The sequence below is a fragment of the Homo sapiens genome, chromosome 6 (genome assembly GCF_000001405.40).
Source record: "Homo sapiens chromosome 6, GRCh38.p14 Primary Assembly".
Lineage (NCBI taxonomy): Eukaryota > Metazoa > Chordata > Mammalia > Primates > Hominidae > Homo > Homo sapiens.
In genome coordinates this window covers 9,757,886-9,784,271 of record NC_000006.12, presented here as the reverse complement: position 1 = coordinate 9,784,271, position 26,386 = coordinate 9,757,886, and the positions used below count along the sequence as shown (strand labels likewise).

Genomic DNA, 26,386 nt, shown 5'->3' with positions numbered 1-26,386 from the left:
TTATTTTTTCTGGGTGATACCAGCTGACACATTCCCAAGGCATTGGAAGGTTAATGTTACTTGTAAACATTTAATCTTTTTCTCAATGTACAAGGATCTGATAGTTAAATAGAATCGTAGTTCCATAACATAAAGTGGATTTAAAGTGGACTTTCAAAATAATTAACCAATATTTGCATTACTAGCGTATAACATGGGTGCTAGTTAGCTCATGACAAATTCTTATATTCATTTCTACTTTCTAATTAAAAAATTAAACAATATTACAACCTCCAATTTTAGCTGTGGTAGAATAGTTGGTTCCATGCTAGCTCTTCTGCTGTAATCAACCATTACAGTGGAAAGAATTTATGGAGCAACTGCATTGGAGCACTGCCATCAAAAGGCGTGACTATGATCCCTGAAAGAAGAGAAACTGATAAGCAAACTCTACGCGGTGAACAGTGGCCCTGGGTGTAATAACCTGACTGTAGAGCAGTAGAATGAGAAAGTCCCACTGAGCTCAGGAAACCATTGCAGCTGAAACAGCTGCAATCTGCAAAGTAGAACAGAAAGCAGGAAGATGTCAGTATAAAAACCTCCCCCCCGGGTTCTTGGTCGCGGGTTATGCTGTACTTAACCATAGTGAGGCATACCAAGGCTTTGCTAAATGGCTACTTACTTGCTAGAGGCTCTGGTAGACCTGAGAGCAGAACAGACATACTAGAATTCAAACAGAGGGGGAGTTCAAACGCAACCAGAAGAGGCATGTTAATACCTCATTATCAGTTTGGTCAGAAAATTAGGATACCAAGTGTCTGCATATTATACATAAAGAGCACGCTCTAAAGTAGCTTACTCTATACCCACCCAAAGAAAGCCCAAAACAAGCCCTGACACTGTAAGCAGAGGAGTTAGAGCTTTGAGGTTGAGCTTTGTCAAGGAAGAGTGGCTTCGTGGCTTGGAAACCCTTGGGTTGGTTGGTTGGTTTGTTTTTTGTTTTTTGGACCTGCTGTAACAAAATGTAAATTCAAGACTACAGGAGTTGAAAGGAATCAGCCAAAAATTGAACTGCCTGCTAGAAAAAAAAAATCAACACCTTTCAGAGGAAGATAAGGGAATCCAGAGACTTCTCCAATGCCCGTTATACAATCTACAGTTACTAGACATGCAAAGAAATGAGAAAATATGAGCCTTAGGCAAGGAAAAAAGTGGATAAAAATAACACCAAAATGATTCAGACATTAAATTTAGCATGGAAAAATATTAAAATATCCATTGCAAATATGTTCACAAATTTAAAGAAAATACTTTCACTCATGGCCTTCATCAGTGAATAGATAGGGTGTCTCAGTAGCAATATGGAAATTATAAAATAGTAACCAAACACAGAACTGAAAATCCAAGAATTAAATGAGAAATTTATTGCATAGGCTTAATAGCAAATTAGAATGGCAGAAGAAAAAATCAGTGAGCTTGGACACAGAACAATAGAAATTAACTAATCTGAAGTAAAGAAAAGAAAAAGGTGGGAGAAAAATGAAGAGAGACTCAGAGACTCATGGGGCAATATCACATAGTTTGACATATATGTCAGTAATAGGAATCTTAGAAAGAAAAGTATAATAAAATGAGAGAAACTGTACATTAAAAAGTGATGACTGAAAATTTTCCAAATTTGAGGAAATATTTTGACTTATAGCTTGAATACTCTCAGTGAACTCCAGAAGAGTAAATACAAAGGAAGCCATACTTAAGGATATCATAGTCAACTGCTGAAGATCCAAATTAAAGTGAAAATCCTGAAAGTAGGAAGAAGGAAAAAACACATGTTACAGACAAGGAAACAATAATGTGAGAAATTGTTGACATTGTCAGAAAAAATAGAGACAAGAAGTCAATATAATGATATATTTTAAAATGAGGACAAAGAATGTCAATTCACAAATCTATATCTAGCAAAAGAATCCTATAAAAGTGGAGGGTGAAATAAAGACATTTTCAGATGAAGGAAAGCTGAAATAATTTTTCTCCAGCAGATCAGCACTATAAAAAAGTTAAAAATGTTCTTTAAGCTGAAAGAAAATAATACAAAATGATCTATACAGGGGAATGGAGGGATATCAGAACTGCAGTATGTATGTAAATATGAAACACTAAGTTTTCTAATAATTGTCTTAAAATGTAATCTACTTTTTAAACAAAATGGCATTGTAAGATGGGGTTATAAAGCATGTGTAGATAAAAGATATGACAATTGCTCAAAGGATGAGGGAGTGGGAACTGGAATTATACTGTTGTATACTGTGTAGGGAGAAGTATGAAGTGGGTAATGTGAACTGTCAGGTATGAAGTGTGGCAGTCGATAACATTGACTTGAAATATTGTGGGATAATTTTAGGATGCATGCTATTAGTCCTAAAGCAAACAGTACCAACCTAAAAAATATAGCCAAGAAAATAATAGAGGAAACAAGATGAAAGACTGAAAACATACATGAGTCACCCAAAATAATGCAGGAATGGGTCAACAGAACAAAAAACCCAAAGAGACAAAGCACAAATTAATAGCAAGATGTCTACACATACTCAATCATGTCAATAATTACATGAAATATTCAAGATTTAATAAATTAAAAAGCAGGGATTGCTAATGTGGATTTAAAAGCAAGACTCAACTATATGCTGTCTACAACAGATGCTCTATAAATTTAAAGACAGAAATAAGTTGAAAGTGAAAAGACTAAAAAATGTATGCCACGGAAACACTGTATGTAAGAAAGCTGGTGTGGCTACATTAATATCTAATGTTAGAAATCTAATAGTAGACTTCAAGACAAAGATAAAGAAAGGGGACGAATCATTAGGAAGACATACACTCCTAAATATACACTGAATGGCAGAAATTGAAAATTCGTGGAACGAAAACTCTTTTCCTTTGCTGGCATATTTATCAAATGACCCAGCAATTCCACTCCTATGTATTTGCCCAAGAGAAATGAAAACATTTTCCTACAAGAGTATTTGGATATGAATTTTCATAACAGCCATACTCAGAGTCAAAACTTTGAAAGACTTAAATATGAAGAATCAATAAATTGTAGTTCATTCATTAAAGGGAATACTACTCATCAATAGAGTAATGAACTTCCCATACAAGCAATAACACAGATGAATCTCAAGCTACTGTTCTGAGTGAAAGAAGCCAGAACCAAGAGAGCCAATACTGCATTATTATATCTATGTGAGATATTGTAGCAGAATTCTAATTTATCATGCTGGGGATCAGATCACTGTTTGCTAGGAGTGTGTGTGTGTGTGTGTGTGTGTGTGTGTGTATAAAGGGTACAGGAAAACTTTTTAGTGTGATGCAAAAAATGTTTTAGATTTTATTTGTGTTGGGAGTTACATGGAATTATCCATTTGTCAAAACCCATTTAATTGTACATTTAAAATATGTACATTTTATTGTATATTAATTGTAACTCAACAATTTGATTTAAAAAAATATCAGTTGGATTCTGGTTTTCTGGAGTTAGCCAGGGGAAATGCAGGGTGTGTAGTAACAAAATTGCCAGGGACATCCTCATCTGATGTGAGCTTGTAGAAGCTGCAAGGAGTGAGGTGGCCCTTGCCCTGTCCCCTAAATACCATGTAGGGTTTGGGTGACAAGGTGAGAGCTTGTATGAAGGGAGTTTGCAGTCAACTCCCAATAGTCCTCCTGTATCTTAGCTCCCCAGCTTCTAGTTTTTTGGGTGGAATTCCTGAGTCAAATAGTTTGCTTATTGTAAATGCTAATAGATGTTACTAGTCTGCTTTTCAAAAAACTTTTAAAAATACATTTTGACAAGCAACATATAATAAAATCAATTTATTTCCACCTTTTTTCTTAAAATGGCCTTTTTCTTCTTGATCCCCCTTCAGGCCTTCCATCCATAGTTCCCTAACTCCTCTTCAATTCACCTGCCCCATATAATCCATTTTATTTTATACATAAAAATATTATATTATATATAATATAAGTAATGTAAAAAAGAGATTATATATAATCTCCTTTTTGTGCAGTGATAAAAAGTACCTCTATAAATGTACATGTCCATATGTTCATTTGTGTGTGTGTGTGTGTGTGTGTGTGTGTGTGTGTGTCTGATTATATGGGGCAGGTGAATTGAAAAGGATTTAGGGAACTATGGATGGAAGGCCTGAAGGGGGATCAAGAAGAAAAAGGCCATTTTAAGAAAAAAGGTGGATGTATATTTTATGACTTGTAGAGATGACCATAATTTCTTATTGAATGGAAAATTAAAATTTGCAAAAAAAAGCACATGCCATGAATTTATCTCAGTTGAATGTTTCTCTTTCTCTCCCCTCATCCCCCATCTGCCTGTACCTGCAGAGGTAGGAAGCAATGAAGGCTCAAGCTAGGGTTGTGGCGAAAGGGAGGAAGAAATGGCCATTAAACTACTGAATGAGGTAGAAGATAATGTGACAAAGCATTAGATGTGGATGACAATAGAGTAGAAAAATTCATGGAAGACAAGAGAATTTTGGGTCTGGGTGGAAAGAGAATAGCAAAGTCGTGAAAAGAGATAGTGCCCTCGGACAGCAATGAGGGTCAGTTGTGTTTTGCATGTCTGAGCCTGAGGTGTTGGCTCAGACCCCAGGTGCCATGGCTGCTTACCTGGCAGTGGGAAAGCACGCAAGAAATCATAAAAGGACCCCACAAGTTCTTTGTTTAATTTATATTTTGTGTATGTATGGTTTGACTATTTCGTGTGAAAAGGTTTTGTAAGCTTATAAGTAAAAGGAGAAACAATGAAAGAAAACATTGATACACAGGAGTTTATAAGACTGAAAATTATATCTTATAAATATACACACAGCTCTCAAAGAAATTAAAAGACACACTGCAAACTAAGAAAAATATTTTGAACCATCATGTTAGGCAGAGTTAATATCTTTAATATGGAAAGATAAAAATTACAAAGAAAATATTAAATATTCCAGCTGAAAAATTAGGGGGAATGGCATGGAAGGGAATCTACATAAATGCTCAGCAAACATAAAAATATTCAAATGTATTAGATTTCTAGGATTTCAAATTAAAACAACAATGAGATTTATTATTTTGTCTACTAAGCAGACAAGTTTTGGCAAGCATGTGGATAATTAGACACGTTCCTGCATTGGCTGGTTACAATATAAACTTTGATAATTCATTTTATAGAGCAAAGACAAAAACCTTGAGCATCTGATTTAGTATCCCTGACCCTGAATACTCATTTTAAGAAAATAAGCACAGAAGGACAATAAAATTTTTGTAAAATATGTACAACATGATATAAATATTAAGCAAAGGGGGCTGGTTAAATAAAACCATATTATGTATTACTATGCAGTAATTAAAAATTATACATTGGGGAATATTTAATAGCCAGAAAAAACAATATGTTATGTGTAAAGAAGGATGCAAATAACATATATGATACGATCATACTTTGGTAAAATATTATAGATACATTTATGTAACATAATTCTATGACACATACAATTACTACATAGCATATATAAATAATTGTCTAATATGCATATATTGCTATATATGTTTTTATAAATAGGAAGGTCTGTTTTAAAGCAAAGAACATTTTACATGAGAACCAAGAAAATATTAAAGACTTTTAGGAGTCTCTGTCTTCGATAGAGACTTTATTACCTTAACATGCACACCATCACTACATTTTATTAACATATAAGGATGTAAATCCTGTTAAATTAGAAATTAGTTCTAGCAGGAAGATTTCTAAGTTCTTTTTGTGGTCAAAAAGAACTGGGATTAAATTTCAGATTTTCCTCTAATTGGCTGTCTAATTTGAGGGAAGTTCTTTGATCTGAGTCTCAATTTCCAAATTTATCAAATGGGGGAATGGTAACTATTTTAACAGTTGTGTGTGTGTGTGTGTGTGTGTGTGTGTGTGTGTGTGTGTGTGATGTAAACAACATAATATATACAGAGTTCTTAGAAAATACTAAAAAATGCATTCTATTATTGTTTCATATTTATATTTGTTATTCCAGCTAGAAATTATACACTAAGAATTTAAATTATAAGGCTTTAAAAAGAATAATACATTAAAAATGTATACTAAATATATAAATATTGTAGTATTTAAATAATATTTAATGTAACCATTAAATCATCCATTATAATATATATGCCAATTATATATAAATATTAAATTAATCATTAGATTATAATTACATATTATCTGCAACATATAATTGTATATTTGTTTTAATATGTTTATGTATGTTTTATATATGTTTAGATATAATGTTTTATATGTAAACATATATAGTCATTATGATTAATTTAATATGTAATTAATTTATGATAAATATAAATTACCGTTATCAAAATTTTATATTTAAATAATATATTTAAAACCTAAATAAAAATGTTTTCTAGACTACTTTTCCTTCTCCTCCCTTTCTTATTGTCATTTTGACCATAACAATCTCACTACCAACAAATGCTGTTTTAGACCCAAAGAGAGGGAGTTCTTCCAGGGATCTATGTGACTGAAGTATTAGGTGTTTCAAAGAAGAGGTGCCTGACTCATCTGAATTTCCATGAAGAAGGATATTTCTCAGTATCTGCCTTTATCTTCGCGCAGTACACTGGAGGTAGTGTCAAGAAACACAATGAAACATCATTTCCCAAAATGCTTGAGCCACACAGACCTAGACTGGGGAGCAAGAAGCTGGCGGGGTCACCCTTTGGGAGGAAAAGGTTTCTGAAGCATGCAGACATACAATCTATGTCCTCAGAATCTTACACTTCTTAAATCTCATTGTAAAATGTCTACAAGGGGCCGGGTGCTGTGGCTCATGCCTGTAATCCTAGCGCTTTGGGAGGCCGAGGCGGGTGGATTGCCTGAGCTCAGGAGTTCAAGACCAGCCTGAGCAGCATGGCAAAACCCCTCTCTACTAAAAATACAAAAAATTAGCCGGGTGTGGTAGCACATGCCTGTAATCCCAGCAACTCAGGAGATTGAGGCAGGAGAATTGCTTGAACCCAGGAGGTGGAAGTTGCAGTGAGCTGACGTCATTGTGCCACTGACAGCCTGGGCAACAGAGCAAGACTCTGTCTCAAAAAAAAAAAAAAAAAAAGTCTACAAAGGCAATTTCAAAAGACAGGGGATGACACCATTCAATTCCTGGAGAGAGAAAGGGGGACAGAAAACAAGGCTTTGACTGCTCACAACACATGCTATCTGTTTTGAAAAAAATCTGTCAGGTCAACCCCCATATCAAAGCTGTGGCTTTCCTGAAGCACTCCAAGCACCTGCATCTTCTGGGCCAGGATATTAGTCACAAGACCCTGGGGATAGACCTTGCCATATGGGTTCACTGAAATGAGTGGTCAAGACAATGACTTTGGAGGCATAAAGCTGTAGGAATACCTGCTTATAAATGCTATTGCCATTTATTTATTTATTTTCCTTTAAGCAACATCTGATTGGTTCAGAAATACTGTGCAAGGCACTATAGGAAAAGCAAGGGTGAAAAGATACCTTGTCTCTTAAGGAGTTGGCAATCTAGAACAGTGCACTCAACTGGCCATGTTTTGTCCCAACAGACATTTGGCAAAGTCTAGAGACATTTTTGGTTGCCACAACTAGTGGTTGGGGGTTAGGTAGAGGGTGCTGCTGGCATTGAATAAGTAGAGGCCAGGAATGCTGCTAAACAAAGCACGGTGCAGCCGTGTTGTAATTCTGTAATTCTGTAATTCTGTACAACACAGAATTATCCAGCCCAATATGTCAATAGCGCCGCAGCTGAGAAACCTTGATATAGAACACATCACACACGATATGCCAAAGGTACCTAAAACTCTATTTTCTGGGCTTACATGTTCAATTAAGGAGTTCTCTTTTTTGTTTTTAATATTATATTGCAAAACTTATGAGTCAGTTTCTTGGGAGAGTAAGTAAGTGAGAAGCACTGGTTGCAGGCAGGGACCAAACCTCTCTAATCTCAGAGTTTCATATTGGACCATTGATACAAGATGCAGGGAGGCTTTCTTGAAAATGTGATCCCAGAAACAGCTGATGATAGAGAATCCTACCCAGATGAGGTAGGAAAGCAGACCAGACACAGCTACTGCTTGTAAATTACATCCCATGGTGTGGCTGAGGGTAGAGTTCTACTTGAAGTTCATACACTGGCTGAATTAAAACCAGCGACCTAGCACAACTTAGGGCCTTCGTTTTAGAATTCTTTCTTCTACCCCCATTTGTCAAGGCATATATAAGCTCTTTGATTTCAGCAGTGTAAGCTTACACATCCTCTGAAGTGAAAATGTGTCATATATTTTTTTCCACTTTTTTGTTTTTAACCCTAGGGAGCATTCCTAAAAAAATCGGTCCCTGTTCTATGGACTATGATCCCAATCTCTTAGAAGAAGACGATGAACTACACTCTCAGGTAAAATGAAGGCTGTAGAAGTTGGCTTTGGAAAGACCATGAAAACAGCAGCCCCTGATTATAAACTATGATTTCTTAAAATGTATTTCCAGGTAGAAAGTAATTTGGTCTTCAAAGCAGGTTTTGAAGTGTGGGATGTGGTAAAGCGGCTGACGTTTGAGAAATCAGCAATGCCAGTAGATTTCTGATTGGAATCAGACTTCTTTAAGCTATTGAAGACTTTAGTTAAATTAATCAGTCTACAAGACTCTTTTCAGTTCGAGCAGAGTGATTAATAGATCTGCTGATTGTGCTGTGTTTCAGTGATTTATTTGGCACGATCCTGGCTGCCATGAAGTCTGTATAGAAACTATCTTGGTAAACTTATATAAATTAAGTAGACTGGATTTCCAAAACATTGGCCAAATTAATATTACTTGTATTACTGGATCCAGTTTTTAGATACTTAACATTTTAAAAATCTGTATCTGCCTAGACCAGGTGACTTCGAATTTTGAGTATTTAAAAAATTTAGCTTTGCTAGAAAATTGAAGTAAAAGAACCCGGCCCACCCCTACAACCTGGCCCCTTTGTGTACAAGTTACCTGAATCATTATCTTAATTTTATACTTTCCTGACTAAATGCATATAGTTCTACAGAGCCATCTTTCATGTCTTACTTTCACTACTGACATTAAAGTAAATCTTTCCTTCTTTAACCGCTAAATTGTGGGCCATCATTTAATCAAATAAATGACTGTATTTTAATGTTCAGGTGGCTACTTACAGCATGTACAATTGTGATAGTTTCTATGTTGCAGACTTTTTATATTGCAGATCTTCTATATCACAGGCTGTATTAAAGATAAAAGCTCTGAAATAAAAAGTTTAGTGAAATCTGCAACAATGAGAGGTACCATTTACTGAGAATTAGGACATTACTAGGTGCTGGTGAATTTTCTCAGTCTACAACAAAAATGACTCATTTTATTCTCACTGTGAATTAATGGGATAGATATTGGTATTACCATCATTATCCCCAACTTAGAGATGAGAAAAAATGAAGCATGGGAAAATGAAGTAAATTAACCAAAATTATATTGCTAATTAAAGTATATAACTGGGTTTTGAACCTAGACTCTCTGGCTCTAGAATCCATATTTGTAGCAATCATGGAAAAACATAAGTTATGAATCTTTTTCTTTTGTTAGCCAGTTATGTTTTCTACTTCTTGGTTTTTATAATCTTAATTTCAGGTCTAGGATATGGAAACCATGGGACAATCCTCTAGCAAGTGAAAAATGGGTGAAGCAACATTACATTCTTTTAGTACATATGTATTCAGGTACTTTTACATATACTCTGTGGGAAACTAATGAAAAAAAATGTTTGTGGGACTTCTACGATATTATGGGCCTAATACTAGCCTTTTAATTATTTTTGTAAAATTCTCATACCAGTCGTTGACCTTAAATTTTGGGATTAGAAGCAAGGCTAAAGTAGGTAACGTGAGAATGAATACGTTCACTCTAAAAAACTACAACTCTTTTCCATATTTTCTGAGTTCACATGTTCAATCAAGGAGTTCTCTTTTGATTTTATTTTAAATATTTTGTTCTAAAACTTATGAAGTAATTGCTTGGGAAAGTAAGTTCTTCCCTGGGGTCCAGGCACATTGGGAAGGTGTCTTCATGCTGAATGGCTTTCAGAGGCAGCACGTACATGTTGGGACTGCATCTCAGCCCCGTCAGTGCTGTGGGATGACAGAGCCAGGACACACCCAAGTTATAAGCAACCAAGTGTTACGGGTAAGGGCATTTATACCACCTTCTAAGCATAGAAATACCACCCTCTTGACAATCAACAGTCTCAGTCTGAGACTCCACACTCCAATTTAAGCATTTTATTTTTTCTCATGTTCTTATAGTATCAGGCATTAACTGGGATCTTCAACTAAATTTAAAAAATTCTAACCTAGGCCGGGCGCAGCGGCTCACGCCTGTAATCCCAGCACTTTGGGAGGCCGAGGCGGGCAGTCATGAGGTCAGGAGATCGAGACCACAGTGAAACCCCGTCTCTACTAAAAATACAAAAAATTAGCCGGGCATGGTGGTGGGCTCCTGTAGTCCCAGCTACACGGGAGGCTGAGGCAGGAGAGTGGCATGAACCCAGGAGGCGGAGCTTACAGTGAGCCAAGATGGTACCACTGCACTCCAGCCTGGGCAACAGAGCGAGACTCTGACTCAAAAAAAAAAAAATCTAACCTAGGCAGTTCATAAAATGGCTGTGGGAAACTAAGGTTAGTGTTGCACTTCAAATGTGAAGCATCAGTTTTTCAAATGTAAATGATCAGAGAACAGTTTACTTGTGTGATGCCAAGTGGCCAGAGATGCTAGTCATCTTCCAGTGGGCAGAAACAGAAACCCGAGGGAGTCAGTACTTGAGGGGTCTCTCTAGCATATCCTGAGCTACCTAGCCAGGGATAACTTGTTTTCCCCTGGGTACATTAATGGAAGCCTGTCCTGTAAAATTCTCTGGTGAACACATCAGGCATGAGTTAAAGAAAGGTGGAAGAGTATTCCTGCTGGATGGTCTCAGGATTTAGGCTGAATCTAATTTGGAGCTATGATTGTTTTTGAATGATGATAATAGCACTGATGGAAATGAACATGATGTCATATTTATTTGCTTTCATAGTTCAGGCACACCTGGTATTTGTTGTTGTTATCTATGACTTGCAATTCTGTGATCTTATTAACACAAGCCTCTTAGCAGAGTGTTTCCACCGCAAGTTTTCCTCCCCTGCCTTCTTAAAAAATGGTGAGCATCACTTAGGCCAGCATTAAACCTTCCACGGCTGCTCACTTCTGATCTTCCCAGGGCAGTTCAAAAGCATCTGTAATCCTCTGGATTCAGCCCTTTATTCACCATTTCCTCCTTCTAAGGCTTTCTCTTTTGATGAAAACAATCCCCTTGCCCTTCATCTGGCCAGATGGGCAGGTGAACAGTTCTCCCCAAAGACCTACACAAAAACCCTGTGAGGGATTTGGAGAAGAAACGCTGCTAAGTGGAGCTTAACTGTGCTGACACCGTAACACTTTTCCAGTGCCCTGGTATCACTGCCTGTGAACTGCCAGCTCTCTCTGCACTCACAGACTTATCCTCTCACCAGTTCGTGGTCCTCATCCTTCTCTGTAAACTGATTGGCTCGTGAAAGGAGTTATGGCGAAGGGACAGAACCCTCTGTATCCTGAACTAATTTTAAAGTTTCTAACCTAGGCAATATAGGAACCCTTAGCTTTGCTACCTACCAAATGACACAATTAAATAGGGTTGTATGTCGTCGGCTCAGATAACTTTGAGACTTGGCTCCTGTAACATTTTCTTCATAGCAGCTGCAAAGAAATGCCATAATAACTGCACAAGAAATGGAAGGGTGTTCAATATTCAATTGATCACCTATGCTGTATAGGATATGGTACCAGATAATACTTATATCCTTAGTATTGTAAAGCATTTTACATGCTATTCTCACGCCTCCTATAAGAATCATATACATACATAAATTATACATATGTGTAAATTATATGTTATATAAATTATATATGTATAATATTTCTAATGTAATATATATGTTTATCTTCACGATTGTCTTATCTCTATTCTTTAAATTTAAAACTTCAATTCATGGACTTTAAATAATCCATCTGAGTTCACAAAGTAGTAAAAAGACTTGAATGTGTCTTCTGATCACCACCTGACTACCCTTTTTGCTATAGCACTAGATATTTTACATTTTCAAAATTCCTTAAAATACTTTCACCTCTCAATTTGCATTGCATTGGAAGAATGTTCATTCATTGTTTTGTGACCGATGTTGTATTTGACCACCAATATTCACAAACCAGATTTTAGTCTATGAGTTTGAAAATCAGATTCTAAGTTTTAGCAACTTATATTTAAAGATTTGCTTTTGATTTCTGTGGCAGGTCAGTATATGAGTGACAATACACACAACATATACAATGTGATGTTTTGGAATAAATTTGTACCACCAATTTCTATTTTAAAGTATAGATATGAATCTCTTTAAAGACATTGCTGTTGAAAAAAATTAATGATGATGCTCTTAGGGTTCAGAATACAGACAGAATTTATAGTTGTAATGAGGCAGAAAATCTATTTTCTGTCTTCTGAGTGTTGACAATATGGCTCAGGCATTGTTTTTCAGGCATATATTTAAGATATACATTTGTGCTTGGAAGACTGTTTAGATTATGAAAGTGCTTCCATGTGAACAGGCTTCATACATCCTGATACTTACCTGGGAATTTCTCTGCACACACTTACCTTTTGTTTTGGAATCAGAAGTTATTTCTTTGTATTTTTTCCCCTTTTGATCAGTTCTTTGGAGATGAACTAGTTTCCATTACTTTATGTCTTCCCAAAAATCCATCTGAAGGATTTTTTAGTGCATTAATTTAGATATTTCTTAAAGGAAATATAAAAGTTCAAGAAATGTTTGCAGTTTTTAGTATTCACAGATGTTTTTCTTTATGACTTGCCAACTAGAGGTAATGTCCACTGTTGTTATTATAATGTGAGTACTTAATAAAATGGCCTCTAATTGCTATTTCTTGAGATCTACCATATGCTTATAACCATGTTAAGTGCTGCGGAAGACAAAGAAATATACTATAACCTGTTTCTGCTATGAATTTAGTTTGAAGAAACTATGTAGATATTCATAGAGAAACCAAAAAGAAAGCAATTTATGCACTGTGTCATGAAAAACCTCCATCAAATCAGCAGCTTTGGTGGATAAACCAAATTTATGGTATAGTTCTTGGTAGCCATTTCAACCTTCTATTGAATGAGATTGAATAAAGTATCTAAGCAATTCATAAGGAAATGCCATCAAATTGAAATTTTAAATAGTTACAAAGGCTTTTTATCAGCAACCTGGCAAGGTGTGCCAATCAAATATATTTAGTTGGGACAATTCAAAGATCTCATATTTTTTCAAGAATATTGGTACTCTTTAATTTACTTAGGGATGGAGTAATTAAAAATATCAACACTGAATAGTCTACTCAAAAATACTTGTATGCTGTAGAAGCTAAAAAAGATAAAAAGGACCACAATGAAAGGCACTTACTTTAACTTGATATCTGTCATAACTGGATTTTGTTCTTAAGGTAATCAAATTGATCAATTTCATAGTAAAATAAATGAGCCTTGTTGAGTTCACTGGGGATTTGATGACATATCTAATTCACCCGAGTTTCATGCTTAGGTTTTCCTGGCTACAACAACCTGCCAAGCCAAAGCAACATTTTGCGATTTCAAGCTATTCCAACTACGAAGTTGTGCTAAAACTTGTATGGACTAATATCAAGGAATTTCAACCAACTGACCTCTTACAAACAATCATTTAAAACATTTGACAAGGGTCTAAATAAAAGGGAAGAGGAGTTTTAACAAAACTGTCTTATAAATGCAAGTCATGCCTGATTTTCTGCTTCTCTAGACTAATGATTTTCAAACTCCTTATCAGCATGTGGGTTAGGCCATTCTTGCGTTGATATAAAGAAATACCTTAGTCTGGGGAATTTATAAAGGAAAGAGGCTTAATTGGCTTATGCTTGTGCAGGCTGTATCAGCATAGCTGCAGCATGTGCTTCTGGTGAGGACCTCAGGAACCTTGCAGTCATGGCAGAAAGCAAAGCGGGAGCTGGCACATCAAATGGTGAGAGCAGGACCATGAGAGAAATGGGAAAGGTGCCACACACTTTTAACCAACCAGGTCTCACAAGAACTCACTATCTTGAGGACAGCTCCAAGCCAGCCATGAGGGATCCATCACCTTGATCCCAGCACCTCCCACTATGCCCCACCTTCAACACTGGGGATTACATAACATCTCAACCATGTCAGTACCATTTATAGTAAAAGCTTAACAGGAGACCCCAATAAATAAAACAGGTAAAACCCGAGCTTTTATGGTGGGAGAGGAAGAAAGAGCCCTGCTAGGTTAGCTGCTCCCCCTCCCTATTCCCTGCCATAGCAGGGCCCCAAGAACCCTTAGTTGAGCCACAGGGCTCAGTCTGCCTTCTGGACCCATCATCACAGGTTACAAAATTTTCTCAAGTTCTAGTAAGGAGCTCCGTAGACATTATGCAATTCCTGTGCTTAAATGGATGCTGTTGAGAATCACAGGCTGGGGGACTCAGGAGCTATTGGCGACAATGCTAGAATGAAGTAACCTGCCAGAGCACAGAACAGAGGCAAAGAGAGTCCTGGTAGCCTTCAAGTCCTTGATTCCGGTGTTCTTGAAATTCAGCAGAATTTCCTTCTCTCTGCCTTCTCCATAGACTTGTTGTTCAAACCTACCTTCAAATTACTCTGTTGAGAGCTAGTTCAAGTTGCATTTATTCCACTTGCACCCAGAAGTCCTGATTCAATACAAATACTGTGACCATCATTATGTTTGTCTTTCCATTCTGACAACATTTACATAAGCTGTCCCATGTGAAATAATACAAAAGTGAACATGTCGTGGTCTCTGCCATTACAGAGATAAAAATTTAGTGAGGGTATCTGGAGCATAAAGCAATAATTTCAATGCAAAACCCATGCCTAACGATGCTTCTTTATGATCAATGATTCTATAAGTCATTCTGGGGAAAATGTCACTGAAACTAGGTGAACTTTCAATCTGCTATTAATAAAACACTTCATTTTTTTCATATTTGTTAATTTCTTTGACAAGGGAGATAGCCTGACGGATCATTCTGTGAAAGGAAAATCAACTGTTTGGAGAATTGGAGAAGCTGAAGATTATTCACAGGACATATCTTACTTGGAGGAACTGGAGGAACACCGATTTTCTGTTTGGTGAGTCACTATATCCTTTCTTTCCATTGTCAAATTTAAATTTATTGACTCCAGCAAGAATTATTATTTTATTATTTGTTTATTCAAAATATTGATTGCCTTCCTATTGTAGGCTATAGAATGTGTACTCTGACTTCAGAAAGTTCATAGTCCAATGAGGAATATTAATGTTTAAAAACATCAATGTGATCTGATGATGGTATTTTTAAAAATTGCTCGAAGTGCAACATGCGCACACAGAGAAGATGATGGCTAAATTTACTAGAGAATGGGGAAGGGTTCTCAAAAAAAGTTTGAGCCAAGTCTTGGGGAGAAGATTGTAATCAAGAAATGGTGACAAATTGGTGTGGGCAGAGTCCAGAGATGGAATTAGGGGGATAGTTGGGTTTGACACATGCTGGATCCCTTAGTTCACTTAAGATCTAAGCAGGTCATAATTACTGCTCTCTCTACTTGGTGATGTGTTTACGGGTGTATCTGTTTCTGTGAACGCACATATAACTGATATGGAAGAGAAGTGCTGGGACGGGAAGGGCGTGGTCCCTTTAAATGATACAGAAGCGGGGAAGGGTGTGGTTCCCGGCTAGGGCTCCACCCCCAGGCCTGTGCCCATGGACCTAGGTGAGGACAGGCATTTTTGTTTTCCTGCCCAAATGTTGCATTTTCACCCTGGCCTGCCACACCAACATCCTGTGCCTAAAAAAACCCCCAAGACCCTAGCAGGCTGACACACAGGTGGCTGGACGTAGAGAGGAGCACATCAGCAGAGGAACACATGGGTGGCTGGATGTCGAGAGGGACACACTGACAGGCACCAACAGGCTGGCAGGCCACTGACTGGCAGAATGGCACACAGTTTGGCTGGGGCAGTCAGAGGAGAGCCTGGGCTGCCTTTCTCCAAGAGAAATCCTTTCCATTCCATCCCTTTCTGGCTTCCCCCATCTGCTGAGAGCTACCTCCACTCAATAAAACTTTGCATTCATTCTCCAAACCTAGGTTTGATCCGATTCTTCCAGCACACCAAGGCAAGAACCTGGGATACAGAAAACCCTCTGTCCTTGCGACAAAGTAGAGGGTCTAATTGAGCTGGTTAACACAAGCCGCCTATGGAAGCTAAACCAAAAGAGCACTCTGTAACACATGACCACTGGGGCTTCAGCTGTAAACATTCACCCCTAGACACTGTTGTGGGGTCAGAGCCCCAAAGCCTGCCCATCTATATGGTCCCCTAGAGGTTTGAGCAGCGGGGCACTGAAGAAGCAAGCCACATCCCCATTGCATGCCCTGCAAGGGGACAAGGGAACCTTTCCTGTTTCCTAACAAACAAACAAAAAAAAGCATGAAAGAGTGGGCAATGGATCTTCTCAGAGGTAAGGAGTACAGAATTTTGCAATGGTGGTGTCCATCAATGGTGGTGAGGAGGAATGACAGTGGCCATGTGACATGAAGAGTGACCTTGGAAAGAAGAGATGGTACCTAGTCAAAGTCATTCATACCTACCCATGGCCTCCCTGCCCACCCCAAGATCTATTCCTGAAATTCTTTTTCCACTGGGGATTTATCTGATTTGGTTCTCAGAATTTACTTTCACTCTTCCATCCTGGAACCACCATCGGAAAACATGGTATCAGCTCAAGTTTCCTGTGCCCAGTCACATTTTTTAGAACTCCCATTGATCTTAACTTAGAACTCTAAATGCTTTCACCAGTGCTTTCCTGATGCTGCCAGAGTGTGGTATTCAGGCCAAAGAGTGAGTTGTTTTCCAGATTAAGAGAAGCAGGGTCTGTGACTGAGAAGCATCAGGCATAAAGGGAAGCTACAGAGCTCAAAGACAAGAAACACGCATGGCTCTCCTAGAAAGAAAACATGTACAAGAGATGCTATTTGCTAGTAAGAAAAAGGCATGCTCCCTATTCTTCAGAAACTCTGTGATAGTCTCTAAGGGGAGTAGTGACATACTTGTTAGATTAGATTCAATAAAATAACTTCCAGAACAGAGGTTTTAGGTGCTTACTTTGATGTATGTAGATGAGTGATATGGTTTGGCTATGTTCCCACCCAAATCTCATCTTAAATTGTAGTTCCCATAATCCCCATGTGTTGTGGGAGGGACGAGCTGGAGATAATTGAATCATGGGGGCAGTTTCCCCCTTCCTGTCCTCCCGATAGTGAGTTAGTTCTCATGAGATCTGGTGGTTTTCTAAGGGGGTTCCCCCTTCACTGAGTACTCATTCATTCTCCTTTTTGCCACCCTGTGAAGAAGGATGTGTTTGCTTCCCCTTCTGTCCTGATTGTAAGTTTCCTGAGGCCTCCCTGGCCATGCTGAACCGTGAGTCAATTAAATCTCTTTCCTTTATAAATTATCCAGTCTTGGGTAGTATATTTGTAGCAACGTGGGAACAGACTAATGCAATGAGAGGGCTGGAGCTTCTGGTGAGTCATATGCTAAGTTCTTAGTTCTTATTCGGGGTTCACCAGGGCTGGAGGAAAAGCTTCATTAAGCCCTCAGGCTCCCAGCTCTTCCATTTCTCCTGTTTTCCAGGCCTTCTCTGATGACTCAGCTCCCTGTTGCCCTTTGGGAATGACCTTTCAGAGTCTAGAATATGCAGTGTCACAATGCGGTTATTATCTTATGTGTTAAGTTAAAAGGCTGAAGGGTTTCCCAGGATCTCAGAGCTTCAGTTCCTGATTGATCCTTTAAGATGCTTTACTCTCAGGCACTATGCCTTCAGTTGGTGTCCTCTGATGCTCTAAGAAGGCCAGATGCTGGCAATTACAGCTCCTGGGGCCAAATCCTGTTCTCCCTCTGCGTTTGTAAATAAAGTTTAATTGGAACTCAGACACATTCATTTGGTTATGTGTTGTCTTTGGCTGTTTTCCTCTGCAATGGCAGAATTACGTCCTTGAGACAAAGACAGTGTGGCCCACAAAACCTAAATTATTTACTATTTGGGTCTTTCCCAAAAAAGTTTGCCCACCTCTGCTCAACACTGACTTAAATGCTTCTCCGCTGCTCTCTCGTGATGCCACTCACAGTACTTTTAAATTTTAAAAGTCATTTATTTTCTAATTGACAAGTAAAAAATGTATATATTTATGGTGTATAACGTGATGCTTTGAATTATGTATACTTTTTGTAATTGTTAAGTCAAAGTATTTAACATATGCATTTCCTCTCATAATTATGTTTTTCTTGTGGGAACACTCTCTTACTAATTTTCAAGTATACAATATATTGCTATTAATTGTAGTCACCATCTTGTACCATAGGACTTTTGCACTTATTCTTCTTGTCCAACTGAAATTTTGTATCCTTTGACCTACAACATTCCAACCTCCCCATTCCTCGGCCTCTGGTAATCATACTTCTACTCTCTGCTTCTGTAGGCTCAACTTTTTAGATTCCACATATAAATAAGATCATGCAGTACTTCTCTTTCTGTGCCTAGTTTATTTCACTTAACATAATGTCCTTCATGTTCATCTGTGTTGTCACAAATAACAGAACTTTCTTCTCCTGTAAGGCTAAATAGTATTTCAGTTGTGTTTATATGCTGTATTTTTTATCCATTCATCCATCAATGGACATGTAGGATGCTTGTGTATCTTGGCTATTGTGAATAATGCTGCAATAAATATGGGAACACTCGCATTATTTTAAAGATATTTGTATGCTTGTTTCCCTCTCCACGCTGAGCTCCTTATGCATTTTGGTCATGCTAAATCACTAAACCACTTTCAAGGCTTCATTTCTTGAAACAACCATTTTATTTGCTCACAATTCTGAGGGCTGGGAATTCAGGCAAGACATAATGGAAAGCTCTTCTTTTGGTCAAAATAAGTCTCAAGGCTAGCAAGAGAAGGAATAGACTTCCCTCTTGATGCAGGAGTGGAAAGGTGATATTGCAAAAGGGCATGTTGGAATGGAAGATATTGTGTGGCCATCTTTAGAAACAGTCCACAACATTTTGCTTCATTCATTTCTGTGGGCACAGTTCCTCTCATAGGGTTCAAATAGTTGCTGAACGAAACAAGTTAAAGGAACCAAAAAGGTGTAGTCTCTGTAGATAGATGAACATGAGTATGAATTCCAGTTCTGCCACTGCTGTGTAATCATGAACAATTTGTCTGAGCTCTCTAAGGCTGCCTTCTCCTGTGTCAAACTAGAATAATAATATCTGTGTCTTGGGATTTGATGGATATTGTGAAAGTTGAGAGATAAGGTACAGAAGATATTCTTACAGCAACTAAAACACATAGATTTTTAATAAAGGCAATTATTATTAACATTATTAATAACCCATTTTAAGGAAATACATTTTCCAAGGGTTAAAATAGAGGGCATAGGTCACTCTGAGATGATTTATCACTTTCTATGTCTGCCTTTCTTTCTGTTCTTCAGACACACTGAATGCTTGATGACATCAGCGCCTTTCCACTTTATCTAGCATGTTCTGCCTGTTCCTAGCGATGTGATTGGAGGTTGCAGCATCCACTTTATGTCCCAGAGAAGCCTTTCCTGACTCTCTATGCAAAGTGGGACCCACCTCTATTTTGGCAATTTGCTTTTTCATCACCTTGTTGGTTTCCTTTAAAGTACTTAACCCCAATATAAAATAATCTTTCCTGTTTATTTCATTGATTTGTTCATTTCTGTTTCCTCTGACTAAACAGAAGCTGTAGGCAGGAATCCCCCTTATCTGGTCACTCCTAGGTCTCCAGGTCCTAGCTTTAGGGTACCTGGTACATAATATGACCAGCAAATACTTACCGAATGAGTGAATAGAAGGAGGAATACGTGATCACTTCTCTCTCTCTCCCAGACCCCTTCGCTATTATACCTATTTATTGACTTCCAATCTCTCCCTTCTCTTGAAACTGCTACCATTAAAAAAAGGGTAATATGGGATAATTAACCACTATACACATTTCTTTTTAAACCAGGGGTTGAGGATATGGGGGCTGCTGAAACCTCTATAAATGTCTGTTTTAAATGGTTTGAGATACAATCTGAACAATTTCCTTGATGTTTTATTAGAGCTGGTAAATCATTTATTGGGGCAGCCTTTACCTAAATCCTCTCCAAATCCCCATAAAATGCATTTAACACAGAATACTGTACTACCCAGCTTCAAAGATATTATATGATGTCGGGTGGGAAGCATTTGCTGCAGTGCAGCAAGTTTAAATATGTATGTTTTCTTTCTTTCTGTCTGATGTGCTCTATCTCCTACCCCCAACTCACTCCTCCCTTTTCCTCCAGCACTCATTTGAATATCCCAATGTTGGTGAATTTGGTAGATTGTGAAAACTTCAGGAGGTTCTAATACATATTTTTGATGTATAGGACTCTTAGCTAATCAAATGCAAGTTTATTTCATTTGTAGCTGCAAATAATTTTATAAAAATGGCTTCTGAAACCTAATTTTAAGACTGTCGTACTTTTTTTCTCAACCAAAAAGATACTCAGCTGAGTTGCCGCTAATGACATCCCTCTTCCTGCACATCTCACTCTAGTTGGTCAGCTGCCAGCAGGGTCAGGTAATCTTAGGTGACAATCTTTGGGATAGTCCCTGAGAGGATGTGCATCCTGACTGCCTTTTTTGTCAGCTGCAAGACCTCTATTCACAAGATGTTTACATTTTTACTTTGAGATATATTCCTGTGTGACAGGTTGACTATCTTTTGCTTATGTGTTGGATAATATGAAATGCCCAAGATATTCCTCAATATTTTTATAAATTGCAAGCACTGAATACATGTTTGTTGAAATAATATACAAAAAGTTAGGGTAAAATAAGAAATATTGGTATTGCCAGAAGAAAGTTCTGGAGAAAAGGCCAGTGGTACAAAATTTGAGGATGACTTTAGATGTTCTGAGTCAGATTGTCTGTGGTGGCTCTCATTTCTTCCTGGTGGACATGTTTCTTTCCCAAAAGTGCCTTTGCTTCCCCTCTTTTCTGATTAACAGATCTCCCCTCACCTCACACATACTCCATGGGGTTGGGCATGATATATGTTATGTTCCTATGACCACTATGATTGGCCCAGGGGTGGGCATGTGATCTGAACCAGGCCACCCAAATCCTTCCCTGGAATTTTATATTCTATTACTTAGAAATAGAGATTCCTTCTTCTCTCCCAGGTACTAAGCTGCAGTGATTTCAGTTTAATGCTCCCTATGGCCAAGGCTACTGTTTTGCTAGTTATGCTTCCTCTACTACCTCTTGTTAACATTTATAATTTCTATCCTACTTGAAACCAGTAGCTGTAGGAGCCCTACTGATACTTTGTAGGTGACACATGTATGTTCTGTCCTACAGAAAAGAAAATGAACAGTTGAATTCTAAAAATTATATGTTAGACATGAGTATATAGAGATAAATGGCATATCTATAGATAGATAGATAGATAGATAGATAGATAGATAGATAGATAGATAGATATATGTGCATTTCAGGTCAAAAAAGATACTGTCCACTGGGAAGCTTTAATTATTATTATTTTCTGAGTGAAAGGACTTCAGGGAGAATGTTTACAATGTCCATTCAGTTAATTATGCAAATAGCCACTCATTTGCCTGTGTAAACAGAGCTATAGAATCCATTCCCTGTGGAGTGAATTGGGTTCCCTGCTTCGTAATGCAGTACCTTAATCTTTGTATAGTGATTTCTCCAAAGAAGTAAGCCAGATTATGTGATAAGTACCTCTGGAAATTGCACTAAAGACTGTTTCAAAACAGTAGATGTCACTCCAGTGGTTTAAAGAAGTTAACATAGTTTTCAGAGGTACCTAACTCCTAAATGGGGAGAAGGTTCAGTAACAAGACAATCTTAAAATGTTTCCATTAGTATTCAAATGTAACTTCGTGGGTAAGCAACCAGAGAACCACATATTTGTAGAGCAGAAAGGGGTTTTGGGATTATTTGGTTCAGCCTTGCCAGTTTATACAAGTATAAAGCTGGGACCTACAGAAGCTAAGTGACTTGCCTTAGGTCATCCAGCTAATAAGAAGTGGAAATGACACTAGAACACACTTCCTTTCCATTTCAATTCAGTCCCAATCATAAAAAGTAAATTCTCCCTAGAACTCTGCTAGTCTTTTCGTAGTTTCCTGTTTCTATCAATTTCAAGCTTCTTTGATATATATCAATGCATTGATGAGAGTGCTGATTTGGGGGAAAATGCATATGATGGACTTACCTCTGTGGCAAGTCTCCTCCCGGCTACAAAGGTAGGGAATAGGCATATGCCCAGATGTTTGCAAAGTGCACATTGCTGACCACACAGGCTGAGCTCTTTTTGTGTTCTCGGCCAGTTGTCTATGTCGCTGACCTGACTGTACTGCTTAGGGGAGGTATGGGTTAACTACACATCACAACAGGAAAGTTATTCTTTAATAAAACTGATACACTTTCCTTTTTATAACACACATGTGATTTGACATTGAAATAAAATGCAGATGCTTCTTTGATTGGCGTATTCCCTGTTGTGCTTTTCTGAAACACCTTCACATATGGTCTGCCTCATTCCTGAGAAATGACTTGTTGTTTATGTCATACAAACAGAACAGATTGATTTTACAGTGAGTAAGGAGGTTGATGAATTGTACATTGGAGAGAAATCTTTGTCTCGGCAATCCAAACACTTGAAAATAAATGTTGCCTTTTGGAAAAGGCTCTCATGATACAACCATGATCCCTTTATTTCATGCCCCCTTTATAGGGGTTAAATAGATACAACACATGCAATCTCAGCAACAAAAAAGGTAGTTACAGTCACCTCAAAATATAATTTTTCTTCTTGCTTTGAAACATATCCTGAAACCTAACAGGTCAAAAAATGTCAGACTCGTCCCAAAGGAACAAACCCTAAATATTAACTTCAACATTGTGTCTGCACTATGACCAGAATGAAACATTCCTGATATTTGGTAGGAGAGCAGTACTCTTTTCTTATTTATCAACTGAATCTTAAATATAAAATTCTTATGCTAAGAAGTCTTCTTAAGGGCCTCCAACTTTCATTCCTTCAGAATTATTTTGTGCAATACGGTGAAAGCAATGTGCGCTCATTCCTCTGATTAGCTAACCATATCCATGGGTGCAGAATTTTAGTTTATAAATCTCTTTTCCACAGTTTTTTCATTTGGTGCTCAGAACACCCTTGTGATACTCTTATTCCCATTTTACAGATTATATATCTGAAGTCCAGAGACATTAGGTGGCTAATTTACCAATACTCAACTAGTGCATCTATGCTCTTTTCATATGGCGTGGAATTCTCTAACTAGTCTCAGATTCATACATAGACATTAGTTCATGCGTTCTGCAGTTTTAAAAATATAATGTCTTAAGTTGTATTCTACTGGCATGTTCTGCAGAGTTCAGTGGGTGTGGAGTGAGAATGAGATGCCATGCGGAGGGAAGCAAAGTCGGCTCTAGAATGGTTCATCAGAGCAAAATAACTATGGAGATCTATTCCTGACAGTAATTTATCAATGATGCACGTATAATTAGGGATTGAGTGATCTTTATTAGATGTGGCTAATGCATGACCATATATTTGTACTGAGAGGGAATAAGTCATGGTGGCTAAGAATACAGGCTCTGGGAACATAGTACCTAAACTCAAACAAATTAGCTTTACAAATTTCTAGTTGAGTAAACTTAGACAGGTTTCTCAAACTCTTTTTATCCGAATTTCTTTATCTGTACAAATGAAGCTAGAGGTACCAGCCTTATTTTAGTGAATTCAAATATGTATATAAAAACTAGAATAGTATAAATGCTCAAAGTATATAGCAAATGCTCAACAAATGTTAGCTATTACTATTATTGATACTAGTATTATCTTTTAGAGACAGAGTCTCAGTCTGTTGCCCAGGATGGAGTGCAGTGGCACAAACACAGCTCACTGCAACCTTGAACTCCTGGGCTCAAGCAATCCTCCTGCCTCAGCCTGCCTAGTAGTTGGGACTACAGGCATGCACCACCATGCCCAACTAATGTTTGTAATTTTGTGTACGGATGAGATCTTGCTATGTTGCCCAGGCTGGTCTTAAACTTCTGTCCTCAAGTGATCCTCCCACTTTGGCCTCCCAAAGCACTGGGATTACAGGTGTGAGCCACCATGGCTGGCCCTAGCTATTATTACTAGCTGAGGCTCTGTCCTCTCTGCTACTCTTCACAACTCTCTGCTCTCCAGCCTATATTTTAACTATTAAAATAATGACCTGCTTGTTTTGGGGAAACATGCAAAGCATTTGGTAGTAACTAAAATATCTTCAGTGTAAAAATAAGATGTTAATGGTAGAGGGGAGATACCAGGGGAGTAAACATAATGTGTTGGTTTTCTATTGCTGTAAAACAAATTACACAAACTTGGCAGCTTAAAACAACACATTATTTTTAATCGTATAGTTTCTATAGGTCAGGAGTCTGAGCATAGCTTAACTGGGTCCTCTGCTTAGGGTCTTACAAGGCTGTAATCAAGATTTTGTTTGTGCTGTGCTTCATCTGGAGGCTCAACTTGGGGAGCAATCCCCTTCACACTACTTTGGGTTGTTGGCAGAATTGATTTCTTGGTGGCTGTATGTTGGGGCGGTGGGTGGGGGGACAGCTTTTTACTATCCATGGCTAGAAGGCTGATCACAGTTTCCAGAGGACACCTATAGTTCCAGGCAATATGGTCTTCTCTATGGCCTCTTACTTTATGAAGCCAACAAGGAGAGTCTTTCATTCAAGGAGGGCCAGTGTTTCTTTCAAAGGCTTTTATCCAGTTAAGTCAGGACCACTCAGGGTAGTCTCCCGTTTGGTTTCAAAACCAGCTGATTGGGAGCCTAATTACCTCTGCAAAATCTTTTCACCTTTGCCATTTTCAATTGGCCAGAAGCAAGTCATAGGTCCCACCCACACTCTAGGAGAGAGGATCACACGGGGTAGGAATACCAAGGGGCAGAAATTACAGGGGCCAATCACTGGATCCTAGTCTGTCTGCCCAACATAGGGAGGCAATGACACAGGCTGCTGCTCTTTGGAGTGGGTGGTAACTCTCTCCCTACTGGTGCATGTGAAGGATTCTAATCCAGTTTGCCTTTTAGGTGACATTCACATCTGCTTCTTTCCTGTGGGTGGGCCTGAGGCTGACACGGCATATGTTCCCTGTTGATTTCTCAGGGCCTAACTCCTTTGCTCCAAAAGCTTCCTTCTTCCTCTCAGAAGACTTTTTATTTTCACTCTACTTTCTTTATTGCCTTGATCATATGAGCACAAAACACCATTTTCTTCTGTAGCCCCTCTCCTGCTCAGACGTGCTATCTCCTCTGCACATTGATTTTGGCACTATTTTTATGAATATGATTTTCTCTTTTGATTTTAAGCTTTATATCTATTTTCTCGGTGGGGAGGGGGTCAGTGCTGTTGGTGCTCAGTGAACTCATTTTAAAAGCTATTCCCTAACAGGATGTCTTCCTGGCAATCAACTTTTAAAATATGGCTAAGAAGCCATAACAGCTCCGATAAATGATCTCAGTTCATGGATACCGTAGTCCACTAGATTTCTAGATAGATAAGAAAAATGACATCACCTTACCCCCATCTATGTCTCCATAAGGAAAATAACAATGAAGAATGTAGTTATCACGGACATCACTAGGGCAATTAAGGCTTTGATCCCTGTAACTTCCCTTATGTTTGAAAGCAGGTACGTTTTGTGTTGGACACTGTTGGTTGCACCTCAGCAGCCATCTTGTCTCCCATCTTTCTTACTGGGGACAGTGCCTTCAATGGTTGAAAATAGTAGATATGTTCCCAGTCCACCATGCCCTATGGGTGGTCATAGATGCAGTTCTGATCAATAAGATGTGAGAGGATATTGGCTTGGGCTTCCTTCTTTCAGAAGGGAAACAGGGAAGAAGAACCCTTTTTCCCCACCCTCTTATTTCTTCCCACTTGAATCATTGCTATAAGGATATGATATTGGAAGCTTCTGCAGACATCTTGCATTATGAGAGGAGGAAAATGAGAGAGAATTCAACCCAGCAT

At 38.1% G+C, this 26,386-nt stretch overlaps 1 pseudogene across 1 annotated transcript in view, besides 1 other annotated feature; it reads left to right on the top strand.

Annotated features, from left to right (window-relative positions):
* Positions 1–26,386, top strand: part of OFCC1 (orofacial cleft 1 candidate 1 (pseudogene)) — a 506,631-nt pseudogene that overhangs the window by 427,337 nt on the left and 52,908 nt on the right. The window contains exons 10-11 of the transcript NR_170155.1: positions 8,383–8,465; positions 15,217–15,341. The product of NR_170155.1 is annotated as an orofacial cleft 1 candidate 1 (pseudogene) (transcript). The remainder of the gene's footprint in view (positions 1–8,382; positions 8,466–15,216; positions 15,342–26,386) is intronic.
* Positions 576–655: a silencer, noted in NCBI's record as "silent region_16898". NCBI's record gives its function as "represses an Ori minimal core promoter by ATAC-STARR-seq in GM12878 lymphoblastoid cells {active_cell/tissue: GM12878}" and the evidence as "EXISTENCE:reporter gene assay evidence [ECO:0000049][PMID:35858748]".